This window comes from Homo sapiens, chromosome 12 (genome assembly GCF_000001405.40).
Source record: "Homo sapiens chromosome 12, GRCh38.p14 Primary Assembly".
Classification (NCBI taxonomy): Eukaryota; Metazoa; Chordata; class Mammalia; order Primates; family Hominidae; genus Homo; species Homo sapiens.
The window spans coordinates 67438621-67460128 of record NC_000012.12 but is presented as its reverse complement, the minus strand read 5'-3'; the positions used below and the strand labels follow the sequence as shown (position 1 = coordinate 67460128).

Below are 21508 nucleotides of genomic sequence, written 5' to 3'. Positions count from 1 at the left end.
TAATTTCCATAGGCCCATTATAGTAAAGAGCTCAAGGCTAGTATGAGGAAAGCATGAATAGAGTTTTGCAATGAAACTAAACTACAGGTAAAACTCCAGGTTGGAATATAAACGTTCTTTCTTATATCTGAAATGAGGGTAAGATTAAAGAAAGGCTGGGCATTGAGTTTCTGTTCTTCTTTAGCGTACTCCAGTATAAGGCAAGAAACATTCACATACATATGCAGAAAAGGGAAGGGGATTCTAACTGCAGACTCCCTGGCATCTAAGTCTCAGATATTGTTGGAACAATAGGAACCCGTCGATACCATCAGACCTATGAGCATAGTTGTTATTGCTTCCAAGATCTACTGATGTCACAGCTTGTGAGGTGTGTGACTGTGCACTTTCTAAATACGGGCTGCCCTCTTACTGCCATCTCACCCAACAAGGCTCATTGGTAAGATGGCAAACACAGGAGGTCAATAAACCCCTGCAAAATAAGATCTACATTTTTATCTCTTCTGTCCTTTGACTCTGCATGACTTGAAGAAACTGGGTAGTAGATTCTGTTGGGAAGTTTTCCAAATAGAAAGAACAAGCCAAGCAAAATAAAGAATGACCTTTCTTTCAAGAACCTTTTTTTTTTTTAAGTATTCACTTGAAAAGACACCAAGGCATCCTTCCTCTACTCTCTCCATTCCTACTCCAACCACAGCAATTGCCTGTCTACAGAAATAACCCTTAAGAAGTGGTTGGGAAATGAATGTGATGCCTGCCATCCTGGGCTGGTGCTCACTCACCCCCCATAGTCTGGAAAGTCTTGGTCCTCGTAAATCTCATGTGCTGTGTCCTTGCTGCCATGCCAATGTTCTATTTCAAGGTCTACTACTCTGACCCTACATAATAAAGAGTCATTAATTATCTCATGTTCACACTAGTCATCATTACTGGGGTCTGACTTAGCATTTCATCTAGTAACAGCATTTTAGGGATTAAACTTTCTTAGATTTACATTCCAATGGCAATATTACCATGTACTCAAAATGCAAGTAAGTCCAACTTTTAACAAATAATACTCTCACAGTTACTTAGCAAATCAAGAAATAAATATTTTAACAGCTGAAATTTTGTCTGTTACAGCTTTTTCAAATAGAAAAAAACTGTCTATTAGAAAATAAAAAATATTTTTATTATTAATTTTATTTTTTAAAAATAATGCTGTTAATGCTAGAAAGGATGTAAAAGTTGCACAACCCTTTTACAATTGTAAAACCGTTTGATTTCTTAGATGTGAAAACTTTCATAGTAATAATACATTATTTAATAAAAATGGAGAACCCAAACCCCTATACACTGTTATCAATGAGCCTGTGACTCTTGCGTGAATGAGTGAAAAACACTCTGTATTTGGAGATCTCTCTGCCAGGGATGCCTATTTCTCTTCTCATCTGAGGTCTGGCGGTTGATGGAATAGACAGAGACTGCCCAACTATGGCCACAGGGTAGGATTCCTTTGCAGAATAAAGAGAACTTGTGGACCCAAAGAGAAGAATTCCTCCTAGATCAAGCCTCACTGGAAAATTCCACTTTAATCCATGAATCAGAGGGAAAAACTGGAGCCAGCCCTGTCTGAAAGTCTAGCAGTTCCTAACCAGTGCTGAGCCTGTGAAACTCATAGTCTAGCAGGAGGTCGCTGTGGCATCAGCTGACAAGTTGAGTCTTGCTTAAAACAAATTCTGTCGGAGCCATGGTGATTTCTTGGTTCTTCCAGGACTTGGGGAGGACTTCAGAGAAAAGGCAAAAATGCTGAGCATGAAATTATTCTGAAGATATGGAACGCATGGAGAAAGAGTCCCTACTCCCCACTCCCGAAGCAGGAACTCTTGGCTTTTCAATTTCGTATTCTCCATCCAGAGAAATTCCCAAGGAGGCACCACACTCCCAGTTCTCCCTTTTTCCTTGCCTTCCCAACAGCTACACAGAACTAAGAAAAGGCCATCATTGCGAGGGTGGAAGAGAAGATCTTGAAATACTCATCATCGTGTTTTCTTTTTCAGCACTTCCTGTCCTTTCCCCTAGTGGGCAGAAGGATCCACTTGGCCTGAAGAAGAATTAGAGTTATGACTGGAAGGCCGAGGGAAAGGAGAAGTTATTGTTCTGAAGTTTTGTTTCCACCCAGGCTCAGGAGGAAAGGCAGTTCAGAGAGTTTCTGCTCAAAGATTTGTGGGCGGCCACTACCAGGAGGGCTGCTGTGAATCTGGCTGGCTCCTGTCACGAGCACAAGACTCTGCCCCCTCACTTGTTTTTTTCCTTAGGGCTGGGCAGGGGCCTCCCATGACCCATTCTCACATTGCCGCAGATGATCCTCCGTGACTCCAGAATGTGCTGAGCCCATCTGATTGCCCCTTGTGGATGGCCTTTGTGTCAATAATCCAAGACCCTTACAAAACCTACCTCCCACCCCTGGAAAAAGAAGGCTGAATCCTTGACCCCAGAGGGTGGTGTTAGTGAGGGAAGAGATCCAGCAACACTTGGTGAGTGGGGCTGGTAGATTAGGGGTGGGAGAACTTACCTCCTAACCCAGCAAACAGTGGTGTTTCTGAGAAGGACATTTTGAAACAAAAAAAAAAGTTTGTGACGCCTGCCTTTCTAAATATCTAAGGATTCTGTGAAGATGCTTGCTATGTTGATTGTGATCCAGGGGTAAAAGTCGTGTTTATTGCTGGCCTCCATTAACTGGCCTGTGCCAGGCCAGCACTGCATACTTCTAAAACATTTCATTTAAGCTTCACAACAGCCCAGTGGGGGTAGATAGTATTTTATGGATGAGGAAACAGACTCCAGTGCTTCTGATATTAACCACTAGGCTACATTACCTCCCAACAAGACTGGATGATAGAGAGTAAGGATGATACATTCCTTAAATATTCAATTTCTTAAAATAGATCTATTTTATGATAGATTCTGTTTTAAATAAATATAAAATGCTACATTTTCAGTTGGCAGTGGCAAGAGAATGGCAAGGGAGATAGATTCTTCGTTAATATTCAAGTTATCTCCTTTCCAGGAGAATTTGCTGAGGAATTCCCTTGACATATCATCAAAAGGGTAGTTCTCTGTGGGACCCTCCCACTTCAACACATTTAGTACCACAGAATGAATGGGGAAATAAACTGACTAGGTCTTAAGGCTGATTTTAGGAGATGTGAGGTATTTTCAAATTAGGTCCTTCAATGCTTTTTTTTTTTCTCCTCTGTATGTAAAGCAACATATTTCTGCACCATTTAAGAGAAAAGAAAATGAGTCAGTGTGAGCTGCCAACAGCTGGCTGACAACCTTGAGCACTGGGTGGGTTGGAAACCATCCAGACTTTGCATAAGGAGTTCATTTTGGGTTAGTTAAAAAAAAAAAAAGGCGGGAGGTGGGGGAAGGAGTTGGCCCAGATCCTGTTCCACAAATTCAGGAACAAGGAGTTGAGATTCCCTTCAGAAACTGCTGGAGGGTGGCTCTGCAGGTCCGTTTGCCAAACACTATTTGACATCTGCTTGTTTCCCTGCCTGACACAAGAAGAACCGTTAACTGTCCAGGTTTTTCCTCTGACAAGCCAATGATTCAATGCAGCAGTTGAACCATGTGAAGGTTAATTCCCTCTTTTCTCTATATCCCTTTTAGAAAGATCTATTATTTCTACAGACTTCAGATTTTTTTAAGCTTCTTTGTCTTCTTCCTCTTGAATCTTACTCACCCTCACTTTGGGTTTAGCTTATTAGGCTGAGGCTAAGTTCCGTAGCATAACAAAAAACTACACATTCATTAAAGAATTAAATCCTCTTAGTTCTCTAATGTGTTTCACCTTTTCAGAGTAGTAAAAATGTCATGTTTCAAAACAGTAATAGCCATTTTTAGTTTCAAAGTAACAAGTGATCAATGTAAAAAACATTAGACAATGCAGAAAGGTATAAAGAAAACGTAAAAATCAACTGAAATTCAACCACTGGAGAAAACTAATCACCATTAACATTTAAATATATATGCTTTCCATCTTATTTTCTTTTATTTTTCTTACAAAGGTAGTTATAAATTATTTGGTAATCTGATTATTTTTACATATACATTGGATATATTTCCATGGGACTACAACAGATCAATATCACTGTTTTTAAGAGGTACACAGTACTTCAATGTATAAATGTTCGTTGACTCATATTAATAGACATTTTTGCTAATACAAATCATGCTGCAATGAACTCCCCTGTACATACATCCTTGCCCACTTGTCCAATTACAGCAGGTCCTCACTTCATGTCCCCTATAGGTTCTTGGAAATTGTGACTTTAACTGGAACAACTTTAAGCAAAACAACATATAAGGAAACCAATTTTACCAAAGGCTAACTGATATAAACAAGAGTTAAGTTCCCACAGCATATTTCTGGTCACTAAAATATCAAGCTTCTAAATAAAGACCCCAAACACTTGTAATATTAAACATTAAAATAAATGTGAGCTATACATACATTTTTAAAAGATTAATAAAAATAAGTCAGGTCATTTTTTACCCAGTTATTCCAGTTCAGGGTCTTGGGTGACCAGAGCCTGTCCTGGGAGCTCAGGGTGCAAGGTGGGAACTAACTCTGGACAGGACGTCATCCTATCGCAGGGTGCACTCACACACCCGCCCACACCCACTCAGACTGGGGCCATTGAGACAAGCCAGTTCACCTAGCATGCACAGCTTCAGAATGTGTGAGGCAACGGGAGTGCATGGACAGAAGCCATGCAGACATGGGGAGAACGTGCACACTCCACACAGACAGTGGCCCCGGCAGGGAATCAATATTTTTTCTTGTCAATGTTGCAAGAAAATAATGTTGAATGACAGGAAAAACATTATTCTAGGACCTACTGTATTTCTTTATAAGTTTCTCTGAACAAACTTTGCTAGATCAAGTTATATATTTTTTTAAGACCTTTGATACATAGTGCCAAATTGCCCTCCCATAGAAAAGGTGTACTTGTTTAGTCAATCTCACTGATTTTGTAAGAGTGTGGTTTTTTCCTCCTACTCTTACAAATGCTGGGTGTAAGCCTTTTTTCCCAATTGAAAGATAAAAATTGGTACCTCTGTATTTCATTTTCCTTCGTTAATAACAAGGTTGAATATGTTTCTGTATGCTTACAGCTATTTATATTTTTTCTTTTTTGAACTGTCTGTTTTTTCTCGCGTCCATTTTTCTATTGGGATTTTTCATATTTTCCTTCCTGATTTGTAGGAACTCATTACATACAAAGATGAGATCTTCTGGGCTGTATTTCAGAAGTTTTATTGTCCCGTGAGATGTTAATAGGTGAACTGAGGGGAAAAAAGACTTCCATGGTCAGATTTAACACATCATTTCCTAAACTTCATTGACCGTGAGGACTTTTTTCTTTTTCCTCCCAGAACACCCATTGGCATGGTTCAGGACATTGGTGTTCTGAGCACTAACATTTGAGAAATTGTTCTGTAAAGGATATTAATGCTTTATCTGTTACATATGTGGTGGGATTCCCCCTCCTCCGCCAGTCATTTGTCCTTTCCTCTACATGATTTTTTTTCATACAGCTTTTAATTCGTGTATTCACATCTCTCAATATTTTCTTTTGTGGTAATATAGAAGGAGGAACCCTGAAGTCATACTTGTTTGCTTTGAATCCTGGCACTGCCACTTGTTGGGGCCTTTGGAAAATTACCCTGTCTGTGCCTCAATTTTACCATGTAGAAAATGAGAAAAATTAATGTTACCAAACAAAGTGATTGTGAGGATTAAATTACTTGATAGAAGTAAAGCACAGAGTATTAGATGTTGATGATGATGATGGTGGTTTACTTTTTGGATTATATAGAAAGTCTCTCTCCTTCTCTGTTGTAAAAAAAAAAAAAATTGCCCATATTTTATTGTCATATTTTTACGGAAGTTAATTTTGATATGAGCTATGGACTAAATAATTTTCTGTTTTCCCCAATGCTTAGCCAGATTCTCCCACTGCAATTAATTGATTAATGCTCCCCTTATCATATACTATTACTTTCTTTTTCTGGGTCTTTCTCTTCTGCTCAGTCTATTCTGATACCAAGGCCCCTTCTTTCCTATTCCTCTTTAGAACGTTCACAGCTACATTTGCCTAAATCAAGGGCACATGTTGGATTCCCTCTGGGAGTTGCCCCAACAGACCTTTGGTAGGGGAGAGGGGCCTGCAGGGTGGGATCCAGGTGTCTCTGACACAGGTGAGAAATGCGGATCCTACAGACTGAATTTTAACTGACGCTGTGCCCTGTTCATCCCCATGTGCTGCTGAGGCTTGGTGTTGAGGGACAGCCTGGGGACTCTCTTAGGAACATTTAAACTCCAGTGTTGTTCATGTTGTTCACCAAATCACAGAAAAAGTGAGATCCTCATACTCTACCTTGTCCCTCCTCATTCTGCCGCGCCAGTCAAAATGACCTCTAAATAAGCAGAAAAGATTTGATTAGGGGCAGAGGGGATTCTAACCTGACACATCCTAAGCTATGGAAAGAGAGCCAACTCGTCTCAGTTGATAGGAAGATTTGATACTGGGACGCTCCATGAAGGTGATACTGGAGCACCATTGAGGATGTTTCACTCAGAACTGAGAGTCCTTGGGTTGCCTGTCAGGCCCAGCACAACCTTCTCCTTTTCTGCACCACATCATCTCTTGCTCACTTGGTTCCAACCACAATGGTCTCTTTGCTGTTCCTCAAACATGCTCCCACTTTAGGACATTTGCACGTGGTTTTTCCTCCAGAATGTTCCTCCCCACATACCCACATAGCTTGTTCCCATGGAAGCTTAAGGCTTTTGTTCCAATGTCACCTTGTCAGTGAGGCCATCCCTGACCACTCTATTGAAAGCTGTGCCTGGAGATCCTCAACCTTTCTTGCCTTATTTTTCTCCACAGTGCCAGTCACTGTCTGACCATCTATTTCTCCTCATTGTATTGTTGATTGTCTCTCTCCCCTAGAATGTTAGCTTCGAAGAGTCTACCTTCTGTTTGGTTTCCTGCTGTACTCTCAACACCTAGAAAAGTGCCTGGCATATATAGGACTCCACTATTGTTTGTAGATAGAAGAGAAAATGAGTGTATCCGTCAGGCAAAGTCACTTGCATGATACTTCATGATGTGTCCAGGCCTAGTAACAATAGCATGTTTTCTGAGAATGTAGGCTGACTTAAAAGACTCTGGATTTTCAAGCTAGCCTCTACAAATAAGATATCTCTAAAGTGGGGAGAAAGGCTGCTGATATGGTTTGGCTGTGTTCCCACCCAAATCTCATCTTGAATTGTAGCTCCCATAATTCCCACGTGTCATGGGAGGGACCAAGTGGGAGGTAACTGAATCATGGGGGCAGGGTTTTCCTGTGCTGTTCTCATGATAGTGAATAAGCCTCTGACGGTTTTATAAAGGGCATTTCCCCTGTACACGCTCTCTTGCCTGCTGCCATGTAAGATGTCCCTTTGCTCTCCCTTCCTCCATCTTCTGCCATGATTGTGAGGCCTCCCCAGCCATGTGGAACTGTGAGTCCATTAAACCTCTCTCCTTTATAAATTACCCAGTCTCAGTTATGTCTTTATTAGCAGCATGAGAACAGACTAATATAGCCGCATCTCTCAAAAGCGAGAACAGACATATGTCTGCGGTAACATCTTTTATCTGATGCCCTAGCTTCATTCCTGAGCTGCCACAGAGCCACTCAAAATGAAATTCAAATTCAAACCACAGTGAGATACCACCACACACCCACCAGTATGGCTACAATAAAAATGCAGAAAATACCAAGTGTGGGCGAGGATGGGGAGGAACTGAAACTCTCATACACTTTGAAAAACTATTTGGCAGTATCTTCCAAAGCTGCATGTGCATATATCATGACCCAGCATTTTCACTTCTGCATACCACCCAACAGAAACACCTACCTATGTCCAGCTGGAAGACAGGCAGGCACAACATTCACAACAGCACTGTTTGTAATGGCCAAAATCTGGAGCAAAAAATGGAGAAAAATAGTAAAATGGATTTTTTATGTGGTATATTCACACATACACTACACAATATATGAAATGCATGATCTATGACCACATGCAATGATATAGATGTATTGAACAAACATAATGTTGCACCAAAGTCAGACACAAAATTGTATAAACTATGAATTTGCTTCCATCAGTATAAGATCTATAAACAGGTAAAGCTATCCATGCTGCTAGAAATCCAGAGTGACTAGAAAGGAGGATTAAGGAAGCTTTGGGATGCTGGTAATATTCTGCTTCTTTACTGGGGTTCTGGTTACACAGGAATATTTAGTTTCTGATGATCCATCAAGTTGTACATGTACATGTGAAAATTCCTGGGTATATAAATGTTTTGAAAACTAGGTCCATGTATCAGAACCACCAATTGGAGTTGCAGGCCACACATTTGCTAAAGCTGTTTGTTACAAAAAGCTGAAACTATTCCAGGATGCACTGCTCCAGCACTTGGGGTGGAGGTGGGTGGGAGGAGGAGGTGGGGGTTGGGGAGGGAACCTTCTGACCCTGGCTGGGTCACACCTCTGAGATGCTACAAGAACGAAGAATGGTAGGGGCCAGGTGTAGATGGGAGAAGGCAGCTGGTAGACAGCCTCGGCTTTCTGAGGTATCTGAGGTCTCTGATGGCCTCAAGGCAAACACTGCCTCCTGTCAGGCTCAGAACAGTAAAGACTCTCCAGCCAGCCTTCCTGAATGCCAACAGCCACAGGACTGTGCAGGTCTAATTTCCAATCAGATATGAAGGGAAGGAGAATGATCTCTGCTGATAAACCGAGTCTGGAAACCTTGTTATAGAATGCAGTAGAAAAAAAGACAGGAGAGAGGGAAAAACATATGAAGCGGTTCTTAGGTAATTTCTAAGAAGGAAGCTGCAGCAGGAACTCTGGCTACATACCAGAGATCGCCCTCTTATTTCTTTCACTTAATAACATTAAACAGGAAAAGAAGGAATGGAAATTCAGGAACTTCAAGGTCCCACTAGGGCACTGAGGACCAGTGTAGAGGAGGACTCATCCTGCACCAGACCTATAGGCATGGATTATACCATGCCCATGGTGCCAATTAAGCTTTAAGAATCACACTTGCTAGCATTGGAGAGGTTAGGGGGTCGGGGAGAGGTGGTACCTAAAGAAGGAAAAAGACGACTATCTGTGTTAGGCCATTCTTGCATTGCTATAAAGAAATACCTGAGACTGGGTGATTTATTTAAAAAAAAAAAAAAAAAGAGGTTTAATTGGCTCACGATTCTGCAGGCTTTACAGGAAGCATGGTGCTGGCCTCTGCTCAGCTTCTAAGAGGTTTCAGGCAACTTACAATCATGATGGATGGTGAAGGGGGACCAGGCACATCATGTGGCAAAAGCAAGAGCAAGAGAGAGAGAGGGTGCGGGGAGGGGAAGTACCACATATTTCTAAACAATCAGATCTCGTGAGAACTCACTCACTATGGTAAAGATAGCACCATGCCATGAAGGATCCACCCCCATGACCCAAACACCCCCCGCCAGGCCCCACCTCCAGCACTGGGGATACAATTCAACATGAGATTTTGGCAGGGACAAGCATGCAAACTATATCACCATCTGGTAACATCCTATGGCTATGGAAGGGAAGGGAATAGGCAAAATTGGTGGTTGAATTTGGTTGACAACCAAAACTCAGTGGACAACCCCTTTTTGGTATCCCAGTGGTAGAAGCCACTTGGAGAAGGTTGGGAAGCTGAATCAGCCCAGGATCTGTGTGGTCTTCAGCCTTCCAGGAAGTAGATCATGCTGGACAAAAACTTCAGACCTCAACCCACAGGATCTAGAAAGGCCAGGATGGAAGAAGCCACAAGGAAAGGAGATACTTAGAGCTCAGTGGTGCTGGTTAGGGAGTCTTTAAGGACACTTGAGAGCCAGCACCTGTGCCCTCATCCTGGCTTCAGATTCTGTGGCCTAAGTGCTAAAGCCTCCCGCCCACTCCTACAGATGTGAATGAGAGTCAGGGAAAAACTGGGGGTGGGTATGGGAGTCCGATGAGAGAAGAGCACATCAAACCCAGGGTATCTGTGAGAGGGAGCTGGATCCATAGGGCCTGCTCTGCATCTGCAAGTCCAGATGTAATGGCAACACACTTGGGCAGTTACCATCGCTACCTATGTGCAGAAGGCTACACAAACAGGAAGAGGAAATATTCAAGCACTGGCTCGTTCATTTTAACTCGAGAGTGTCTAAAACAGATCCCCAACAGCACGGAAAGTTTCAGTTTTGTAGTCAAGCAGATAAAGATGTGGCTAAGGAGAGTATTCTAAGGCAGATGCCAAGTGTATGCCCTCTGTGAGTGCAATGTGCATTGCCCATGGGCCTAGAGCATTCTAGAATAGATATGCAAAATACATGACCACTTAGGGAAAGTTGAGATGAGTCACTCTTTCTAAGAGTAACCGTTTAAAACATCACACTTAGTATCTCTGAGCCCCACAGCACATGCACTGTGAAGAATAAAAATTCAGATAACATTTAGACTTGCATGAACAATTGTTTTTTTTAAATAGACACCAAAGGAAACTCGAACCCAAATTCTAGATTCAGAATGCCCAACACTGCTTACCAGAGACAATGGATTTTGGTTTAGGTTTTAAAGAGTGATAAGTATCAGATTCAGATGCTAAGAGGTAAAAGGAGAAGACAGTTTTGCTGCTCACTCAGTGGGTTTTCTCAGTTTTAGACAAAGGTCACAAGGGATCTTGGGGGCTCCAGACACTATCGAGTAATTGGTAAAAAGGATGATCATGATATCAAATACCTGGAGTGCTAATTTCTTTAGAAACCAAATTATATAAGACCTTTGAGGCATGTGAACGTTCATCCCCAGTTCAGAACTGCCTGGAAGAAGCAGAGTTGACATTGTTCATTTTTAAATACTGTGCAAGTTCTGCTAGATGGCTAGCATCATAATGGGGTAAGAGCAGATCCTGAGTAGATCTTCCCTAGCACTCCTTAGCTGTTTCCCATGAACCTTAGAGAATCAAAGACCTATAGGCTTAGTGGATACTAAGAGAGATTTGAAGATAAACATGCCATTAAGGCAAAGCCCTTCTCTGACCTGACCCAAGCATGTCAGGCCAGAGACAGTAAGAAAAGGCACCAGAAAAGGCATTCCATGGATAAGAGAGAAGCCAGGGCCCTCCACCCTTTTGAACATTTTGAAAACTGAAAAGGGAAGGCCTGTAAGCAGATGCTCAGGGCCTTCATGATCTCTTTCAGCCAGGTTCTTGCACTAGTATCAGCTGATCAAGTCCTTTCCCTCAGTTTAAACCATGGACTACCGTACTGAGGGCTTAGGAGCTGTGCTTTCTGACATAGCAGGAAGATATCGGGAAGGTAGCTAAATTCTACTGGCAGAAGCTTAAACTATGTGAGATCTAATATCAATATCCTGTTTACAGATCAGAGCCATTGGCACATAATTAGGCAGTGAGACACCAATTCTAGGAGGTGTGTATACAAGGTGGAGGGGTGATCCACAGAAGCCTCCCCTCTGTGCTCTCCAGAGCCAAGCAAGACATGACAGGGAAGTAGAGGGTGGTCGTTTCGGTTATACAGATGCTGCACCTCTTGAAGGAGTCAGAGGCATGTGAGATTCCCAGGGTCCTAAGGGATCTGAGTTCCTTTATGCCAGAAAGCTTGGGCTTTCCAAGGTAAGGCCAATGGTAGCTCTCACTTATGTGGCTCCGGTAAACCTAACTGCTCCAGCCAGGAGGGACAAGATGGAAGCTCAGCATAGGAGGTGGTCAAGGAAAGAAACCTAGGACCTCTGAGGTTGAACTAGACTAGTGGTTTTTGTTTTTGTTTTTTTCAAGTAAATTTGAATTTGGCATTGAGATGGGCACAAATTAGAACAGCTTAAGGATGTATTATTAAAATGAGTGCTGAAATATTCTCTATGAAGACACTTTCCCCCAAGAATACTGTGGTATGGTTTTGAAGACCTCATAAGGCTTGGGATGGAACATAGTATGTGAATGTTGCAATGCTTTCCACCTTCTGGAAATCTGTAACTGGAGGGCAGAATTCTGGTGGAGGGTTCCACTTGTAAGTCTCACCCTAATAGTGTTGGTGGTACTTTAAATAATAAATTGAAAAAAATTATATTAATTTCTCTAAACTGAAATTATGAAACATATGTCACCATCCATACCTGTGAGCATTATCCCTGTGCCTTTTCCTTGTCTCTCCTGGGGATCTCAGAGAGGCCTCCCTTGTTTTTCAAATGAATCATATAGCAGTTTATTCCTTGATCTCTAGTTCCACAGTTCCTCTCCCCACTTCCCTCAGTATCTTTATTTCCCTTCAAATTTCACTTTACAGGTCTCTTCATCTGATCAGTGAGTTTCTTGCCAAACATATTTCAAGACCTTCTGGAAGTACCTTGCCAATAACCCATTGCCACATCATTATTGCTAACTCTTCATTATTCTCCATATTCTCTTTTCAATTTCAAGGATAACAATATCAATCAGTGTGGACCTAACCTGTGCTTCTTAAAGCCTCTCTGGACTGGGGTTTTAAAAGGATCACACTAAACCCTTAATTACTCCTCTTTTCTTGTACTCCCTTCTCTGCTCTTGTCCTGGAAGAGAGATCATGACAAGGGATGATAGCTCATAGTGAAGGAGCCACTCCTTGGCTGGCAAGAGGCTCTCCTAAACCACTACAAACAATTAGTCTTAATCCTGGCTTTCAAATAGAAGCACCTGGGGAGCTTTTAAAAAAATATGGATGCCTGGGTCCTATCCCACACCAATTAAATCAGGAACTCTTGGGATGAAGCCCTAGGGTTGGTATTTTTTAAAACTGCAGTGTGATTCTAATGTGCACTCAGTTTCAAAGCACTGTTAGGAGCTGTGGTTAGCCATGATCCTTTGTTGAGCATCTATTTGCAGCCAGATGTCAGCCCACACAATCAGGGCATAGAGGAGTAGCACAAGGATTCTCCAATCAAGTTATTCAATTCTCCCACTCACTGCTTCTTGCCTGCTTTGCCTCCCCCACTCTGAGCCAGGGCTCCTTTTATTAAAGCAACTCCTAAGAACACAGGGACGCTCTCTACCCCTTGCATGAACTCCTCTGCAAATCTCTTAGGAGTTAGCACTTCAATCACTATCATTCATTCAGAAAATGTAAGTCACCTTTTTTGCTTTGAGTTAATCATTTCCCATTTTCCCAGGTGATTCAGAAAGCCAGTGCTCACTGACAATGAGTGGGTAGACGCGTGGGCCTGCAGACCTGCCTCGCTGTTCCATTAACAGCAGAACACACTTCGAGAGGCAACTGACAATGGAGGCAACAACAACAACAACAAAAGCAGTATTTTTCCAATCATAAAAAAAGAAGTCTGTTTCTGAAAACACAGTTTGATTTGTTTATATTTCATGCAGTGTTAAAATGCTCAGTCGGTTCTAACCTTGTTTGCATTAATCCTCTTTTCGGAATTTGCACATTTGTTTTCAAAGCATTGGGTTGGAGCAGTTTGCTGCTACATGGAAATCATATCAGCAATCGTACTCAGAACATGAAATGAACCTGCACATAGAACCCACACAATTTTAATGTCTGCTAACCAACTGATAAGCACATAGGAAGGGCATACAAGAATTAGAATAGAGAGCCATTGAGCCAACAAAGGTTCACTTTCTAAGAATCACCACCTTCTGAGGTTACTGGTTAGTACTCTCAACAGCCATTGCAGCAGAGGCTAATTCATTCATTCACACATTCAAGAAATTTTTCCTTGGACATCTACTGTATGCCAGGTACGATGCTATGAGTTAGGACTAGACTAAGGAATAAAACACAGTCTCAGCCCCCAGAGTCTACAGTCTTCAGCTAATCATATAAACAAATAATGAGCTTTGCAAAAGCTTCTCCTCTCATTGGTATGCTCTTCTCCCATCTCTTTGTCTGGCTAAATTCTATTCAACCTGCTAGATCTTGAGTAAGATGTTTCTTTATCTAAAATAAGCGTCCCCAACCCCCAGGCCATGGACCAGCACCAGTCTGTGTCCTATTAGAAACCAGGCTGCATGGCTGGGTGCAGTGGCTCACGCCTATAATCCCAGCACTTTGGGAGGCTGAGATGGGTGGATCACCTGAGGTCAGGAGTTTGAGACCAGCCTGGCAAACATGGTGAAACCCCATCTCTACTAAAAATACAAAAATTAGCTGAGCGTGATGGCAGGCACCTGTAATCCTAGCTACCTGGGAGGCTGAGGCAGGAGAATCACTTGAACCCAGGAGGCAGCAGTTGCAGAGATTGTGCCACTGCACTCCAGCCTGGGTGACAACAGCAAAACTCCATCTCAAAAAAAAAAAAAAAAAAAAAAACAAGAGAAGAAAAAAAACCAGGCTGCACAGCAGGTGAGCAGCAGGCCAGTGAGCATTACCACCTGAGCTCTGCCTCCTGTCAGATTAGCAGTGGCATTAGATTCTCACAAGAATGTGAACCCTATTGTGAACTGTGCATGCGAGGGGTCTAGGTTGCACGTTCCTTATGAGAATCTAATGCCTGATGATCTGAGGTGAAACAGTTTCATCCTGAAACCATCCCTCCCCTTGCCCATCAGTGGAAAAATTGTCTTCCACAAAACTGGCCCCTGGTGCCAAAAAAGTTGGGGATTGCTAATCTAGAAAATGCTCCTTGACACCTCAAGTTAGAGTTAGGCGTCCTTTCTAGGTATTTCCATAGCAACAGTGCTTACTCCTATCTGAGGACTTTGCACTTCGTATTGCAATTACTTGTTTAATTATTTATATCCTCTCACTAGGCAATGAGCTACTTAAGGACAAGAGCTATGTCATGTCCATCTTTATATCCCCAATGACTAGCACTATGCCTAGCACCTATTAGGAACTCAATAGATAATTGTTGAATGAATAAGTGAATGAGTGATTGAGGTATTCATAGGGTATTATAAGAACACAGAGAAGAGACACCTAAAGATACTTCCTGGGAGAGGTAGCTTCTAGGGGAAGTTATAAATGGTTAAGTCTGAATTATCCAGGATTAGGCTGGTTGGACAGTAGAGAGAGACATTCCAAGCAGAAGGATAGCATGAGAAAAAGAAAGCCACAAAAAACAAAAGAGGCATGCCAGAAAATGCCCAGCAACACGTGGAGAGGACACACGCTAAGGCAGCCGTAAGGTCATGAGGGATGGAAGGTTCCAACCAAACCAGACTCAAACTCCATTCTTCCCTTCGTTCCCATCCAAATAAAAGAATGAACACACAGATCAGAGGAGTCCTAGGAGCTGATCTCCAGGGTTTACATACTGGTTACCAACATATTACATAGTCCCTAAGTCACAAACCATGCCAAAAACTCTTCCTTGATACAAGAACTATGTCTTACCCTGCCCTGTGAGGTTCAGTGAATGGGACCTTCCAGGGAAAAGGTGCCAGGTCATCTTCTTAATACACTCCTTGCAGAAGGTTTCTGTCTCTCATTACAAATGGTGGTAAAACACCTTGTTCGCTTTGGTAGGCCCACCTTTCCTCTGCCCAGCTTCTTCCTAAAACCTAGCTCCTTTTGTTCAACCTGAGCAACCCTTAGGAGAGCATGTTGCCTTATTTCTCCTTACTCCATTGTTTTTTGTCTTGTTTTTTGAGATGGAGTCTCGCTCTGTCACCCAGGCTGGAGTTTAGTGGCACAATCTCAGCTCACTGCAACCTCTGCCTCCCGGGTTCAAGTGATCCTCCTGCCTCAGCCTCCTGAGTAGCTGGGACTATAGGCATGCGCCACCATGCCTGGCTAATTTTTGTATTTTTTAGTAGAGATGGGGTTTTACCATATTGGTTGGCCTCGAACTCCTGACCTCGTGATCCACCCCCACCCCACCCCACCTCCCAAAGTGCTGGGATCACAGGTGTGAGCCACCGCACCCAGCCCATTGTCTTTTAAAATATTAATTTCAGTGATTTCGTCATTTACATTCAATGCAACCAATATCCTATTTAAGGTAATTCCAGAGTTTCAGTAAAACATCTCTGATTACCCACTTCAAGTAAGAAATTCTAAGAAGATCAGCTGATAGAGTTCAGTCATTAATTCATTCAACAACTATTTAACACATCTGTGTCAAGCACTGTGCTGGAGTCTGGAAATTCAAAGATGAATGAGAAATGGTCTCTACTCTTAAACTGTCTGCAGTGTGGAGGAAGTTCTAGGATGGGGAAATTGCTTATGTGGGGCAGTGCTGAGGCTACTGCTGACCTACCTAAGCCAGCACTTCAGGTTTATGCAGGTCCCTGAATCAGCAATACAAGCATCACCTGGAAACTTGTTAGAAATGCACATTCTTGGGCTCTTCGTACAAACCTACTGAATCAGAATAAGAGAGTGAGGCCCAGCCACCTAGGTTTTAACAGGACCTCCCAGGAATGCTGAGGCTCACTTTGGTTTGGGAATCTCTGGTCTAAGCTCTGTTCTGAATCACACCAGGCCTATATGGAAGGTGATTAGCCATTCCCAGCCTTCTTCTCTACAATCCCCCCTTCTTCTTTTAGGAGATTAACATGAAACATCAATCCAGAGTGACTACCCAAAATGAAGTAAAAATACTATTTTCTCACATAATAGCAACACATGACACTGCTCCCAAATCACAGAGACGGTTTTATGAAGATCAGTATGGTATGGACTAAACCGACTAGAGCCACATCAGCATCAACACAGAGGGATTCAGAAAGGATAATATCATCATTGTCTCCTGTATTAGTCTGTTCTCACATTGCTATGAAGACACACCCGGGACTGAGTAACTTATGAAGAAAAAAGGTTTAATTGACCCACAGTTCCACATGGCTGGGAGGCCTCTGGAAACTTACAATTGTGGCAGAATGCAAAGGAGAAGCAAGGTACCTCTTGCATGGCAGCAGGAAAAAGAGCCGCAGGGGAAACTGCCGCTTGTAAACCATCAGATCTCGCGAGCCCTCCCTCACTATCACGAGAACAGCATGGGGGAAACCGTCCTCATGATCCTCCCAATAGCCCCCAATCACCTCCCATCAGGACCCTCCCTCCACACGTGGGGATTACAATTCAAGATGAGATTCAGGTGGGGACACAAAGCCAAACCATATCATCTTCATTCTCCCCCCTGGCACTTGAGGGGAAAAAAGAATCATATCAGCTTGACTATTCAAAAAAGAAGCAAGAGCGCCACAGTTATTTCAGTGCATGGGAAAAGGGATAAACTGAAACAATAAACTTGAACGTTTAGGAATATAAAGGTAAGGGGGAGAGAGATAACAATCTTGGCCTCTGAGTTCTGCAACCCTATGGTTGTTTTAAACAAATGAAAGCAGATTGCTTTCTTCCTGGAGTTCTAGTGAAATGTATCTTGCCACCAGCAGACCGTTCGGAGCTCCTGGCCACAGTTTATTGGCTCATTGCCACGTGTCATTAGTGACCTATTTTCGCTGCTGTGAAATCGGCCATGTCTGAAGGCCCCCGAATCAGCAGTTTCTCCCTCCACTCACCGGCTCCAGGCTGGCAAAGCTGACACCAGTGCCACAGAAAATGCAACCCGCTGCCCTCTCCCCAAAATGTGGGGAGAGCACGGTTTTGCTATGAAGATGTCGGCTTTGACCTGAGGCTGACTTGAGAGCCCAGCTGTCATGTCTCTTCCAAATAAGCTGCTGAACTTGGAATTATCTTGGCTGAATAATTAATCAGGACTAAAAATAACCTCAAACTGCCTGGGCTTTGCTTAAATCCTACACAGGTGAGAGAAGTAGGTTTTTTTTTTAACGTAATTGCAAAACCCATATTTTGAAAGGCTCTGCACCAAAATATGAAAATAATTACCCAACATGCCAATTTGGGAGATAATTCACAGTTAATCTGGCTCTCTTAAAAAAATGCCACCTTTTGAATTTCACATTGACTTCAGATTGTCAGTTCTTGGTGGATATGAAAAGCAGCCGAGAGTTGTACTCAAAATTTTCTAAGAATACCTTCAAACACAAATCCATGGGGAAAAATATATCCGTTGGTATAAAGAGCGCCTGTTACCAGGCAGATTAGACAGTGAGCCGAGTTCCACAAGAGGGCGCCTTCCCCATGCTTCCTTCTCGAAGGTGAGGGCGCTGCGTTTCCGCCCCAGCCTTGGCTGCCCTTTCTTTTCCTTTGCCCTTATACAAACGATGTGCTCCCAAGAGCGAATGCTCAGTGTCCTGTGGAATGCTACTCCTGTGACCACTTTCTAGCTGAGATCATCAGGCAAATGTTATCTCTGTAACATCAGAGGAGCAACTTCAAATGATGAGAAATCAAGCAAAACATTAAAAATACAGGGGGAAAAAACAAATACATCTAAACTGCCTTCTCTCCATGGTGATCTAGCTTTGTGTGTTCATTTTCTTGATATTGCTGTGATACAAATAGGATGTGATGAAATGAAAGTACATCCATCACAGCAATCTTGTGTCCAGCCTGAATCTCAGACCCAGATGTGGCTCCAACCAACAAGTGACCATGAGCACGGGGCCCAGGTGTATTCTGGGAAGCTGCTCACCCTCACTGCCATTTCTTTCATCCCCGTAGGCACAGCATCACCTTACATCGAAGACAGATTCAACGAATCTGCCTCTCATCCTAGGTGGCCACTAGGCAACTCCTCTGGGACCATTTCTTCCTGCTCTATGCTCCCATGACCTTCATTCATACTCCCTCTTCCCCTGCTGGAAACCTACTTCTTTTACCTCCTCAAAGGTAAAAGGACCAGCTGGTGAACAAAAGAATACATTTGCTCTATCTAAAGAGAAGCATTAGAGCAAGGGAGGAAAAACTGATGCAAGACAAATGACTTGGGCTCATCATAAAATACTGAGCAGTCAGCAGAACATTAAGAAGAGACTTCTACTCCCCACCACACACATAACCATCTGCACACCTGAATGCCGAGACTAAGCCTCACCAGACGCCAGCAGCATAAATGAGAGGAGTCACTTACCCCTCTGAGGCTCAGGCTTCTCGACTGGAAAAAAAAAAAGATAATAAAAATATCAGTTCAGTTGGGCATAGTGGCTCATGTCTGTAATCCCAGCACTTTGGGAGGCCAAGGCGGGTGGATCACCTGAGGTCAGGAGTTCAAGACCAGCATGGCCAACATGGTGAAACCTTGTCTCTATTAAAAATACAAAAATTAGCTGGGCATGGTGGTGCATACCTGTAGTACCAGCTACTCAAGAGGCTGAGGCAGGAGAATCACTTGAGCCCAAGAGGTGGAGGTTGCAGTGAGCTGAGATCATTCCACTGCACTCCGGCCTGGGCAACAGAGCAAGACTCCCTCTCAAAAACAAACAAACAAAAAAAACCTAATGAATTGTCAGTCTCAAGCCAGTGGGTAGCCAGTGGGTAACCTGGTAATGTAATGGTTCTGTGAAAGAGAGGGTCCATAGAATACAACAAATGTGTGATCTTGTTACTTCATTTGCTGTGATGTGAGCTGAATAAGAGTCACAAAGAATAAGAGAAGAGCTGTGGTTGTTGTACAGAAATAAATACTATTCATCTTGAAACTTTCACCTCATCCCCAGAAGTATCCAATAGAATTTATTAATGCGTATTTCCTACCCAGTGTAGTCAATCAATGTGTAATAAAAATGCTGATGGCCACAGCTTAAATTATTAAAATTCTAGCAGGTTTACCAGGTCCTGAGCTTAGAAATGCATGCAAATCTCTTCATTTGAATAGTTGACTTAATATCATTAGTTCCCCCCTATATCCTCTGGTTAGAGCTCACCTCTAATGAAGCCTCAGGAGCTGATGATATTCCCATACAGTCTTGTTAGTTTTAGAGAGAAAACTCTCCCCACAACCACAAAAGTCTTCTCCTAAGCCCTTAACCTAGAGGTGTCACAAAGAGCATGAGGCATCATCACTCCTGGGACAATGACCCTAAATCCTTGTCCCACTGAGATAGTAGCCTTATCTTCCTGTCAATAGGAAACCCTTGGTCATTTGTTGTGGGCCAAGAGGAACCTGTGGCCAGAGGACGTTAGGAGGAAAACCTGGTTTGGCAAAAATGATGCAGAACAGGGACTTGCCAAATAGTAAGGGTAAAAAGAAGATGACTTCTAACTGGCTATGTGGCTGAAAGTCACCGAAATGGGCAGTTCCACCTTGTGGCCTTTGGCTCTCCAGAGGCAGGAATGAGGATAAAAAGGTAGTGGAAATACCTAGAAGATGAGACCTGAGACCAGCAGAGGCAGAGAGGTCTTTCTGGTTTTCTATGGGAGAGTAGCATTCTTCATTTCTCTCCTCTGTGCTCCCTGTGACTTCTGTTTAACTTCTGTCAAAGTAGTTGTGACGCCACATCACTCTTTCTTATTTGTCTATGTCCCTCAGTAAACTTCAAGCTCCACGTGGGCCAGAACCAGGTTTAATTTGTTCATAATGGTGAATAAACTTGTATCCCTTGAACTGATTACAGCCCAAGCTCAAAAATGTCTTAAATGAGTAAATGAATGCTGCATACAAAGGTTAGCCCTGAAGGAGAAATGAGCAACATATTCTAATGGAGATGTATGTGGCACAGAACTTGGAGATCAAAGTCAGCCTCTTGGGTAGACTTCAGGGATGGGCTTTAAACAAAGAGGCAGGAAGATCCATAGCATTACTTGGGGGATGAATAAGACTCTAGAATTGAGTTGGCCCAGAAATTTTGGGTACAAGCAACACTCACTTTGTTTGATATGATTACAGAGTATTTTCTTCTGTTTACTACTTTCTTTAATTTAATTATGTGATAAAAAGTGATCACTGTGTGTATTAGTCTATTTTCATACTGCTATAAAGAACTACCTGAGACTGAGTAATTTATGAAGAAAAAGCTTTAACTGATTCACAGTTCCACATGGTTGGGGAGGCCTCAGGAAACTTACAATTATGGCAGAAGATGAAGGGAAAGCAAGGCACATCTTACATGGCAGAAGGCAAGAGAGAGAGTAGAGGAAAATACCACTTTTAAACCATCAGATCTCGTGAGAACTCCTTCACTTTCACGAGTAAAGCAAGGGGGAGACCGCCCCCGTGATCCAAACACCTTCCACCAGGTTCCTCCCCCAACACGTGGGGATTACAATTCGAGATGAGATTTGGGTGGGGACAGAATCAAACCACAGCACTGTGTATTTCAACTACTTCCAGAGATGATGGGCACATAAGGAGTAAAGAATAGAGGGGGGGACAATTTCCTCCACGTGTCTGGAAGAACTTTCACAAAAACATACTCATGGGTCGTTCTACTCCAAGAAGACGGATAGCTCTTAACACATAGTAAATAACTTTTCTATCTGAAGTCTGCTTCTCTTTCTCCAATGTAATTGATTTGTAAAGGGGTTTTGCCCCACCCCCCACTCTCCTTGATTAAGTTCATCCGTGAACACCAGGA

General features: G+C 42.7%; 2 long non-coding RNA genes across 3 annotated transcripts in view, besides 1 other annotated feature; one reads left to right on the top strand and one right to left on the bottom strand.

Moving 5' to 3' along the window:
- Positions 1–21508, bottom strand: part of LOC105369812 (uncharacterized) — an 86311-nt gene that overhangs the window by 20566 nt on the left and 44237 nt on the right. The window contains exons 4-5 of one of the 2 annotated variants that reach the window (XR_945043.3): positions 7958–8022; positions 4494–6468 (exon numbers count right to left, since the gene is read on the bottom strand). This is a non-coding gene — a long non-coding RNA (uncharacterized LOC105369812). Of the gene's footprint in view, positions 1–4493; positions 6469–7957; positions 8023–21508 lie in introns of those variants that run through there. The other variant, XR_001749186.2, reaches the window with a different exon arrangement.
- Positions 11569–11753: a silencer, noted in NCBI's record as "fragment chr12:67842156-67842340 (GRCh37/hg19 assembly coordinates)". NCBI's record gives its function as "represses an EF-1alpha promoter that drives an FKBP-Casp9 reporter gene in an ReSE screen in HepG2 liver carcinoma cells {active_cell/tissue: HepG2}" and the evidence as "EXISTENCE:reporter gene assay evidence [ECO:0000049][PMID:32094911]".
- Positions 17570–19131, top strand: LINC02420 (long intergenic non-protein coding RNA 2420). Its single transcript, NR_146500.1, has 2 exons — positions 17570–17835; positions 18657–19131. It is a non-coding gene; the product is annotated as a long intergenic non-protein coding RNA 2420 (long non-coding RNA).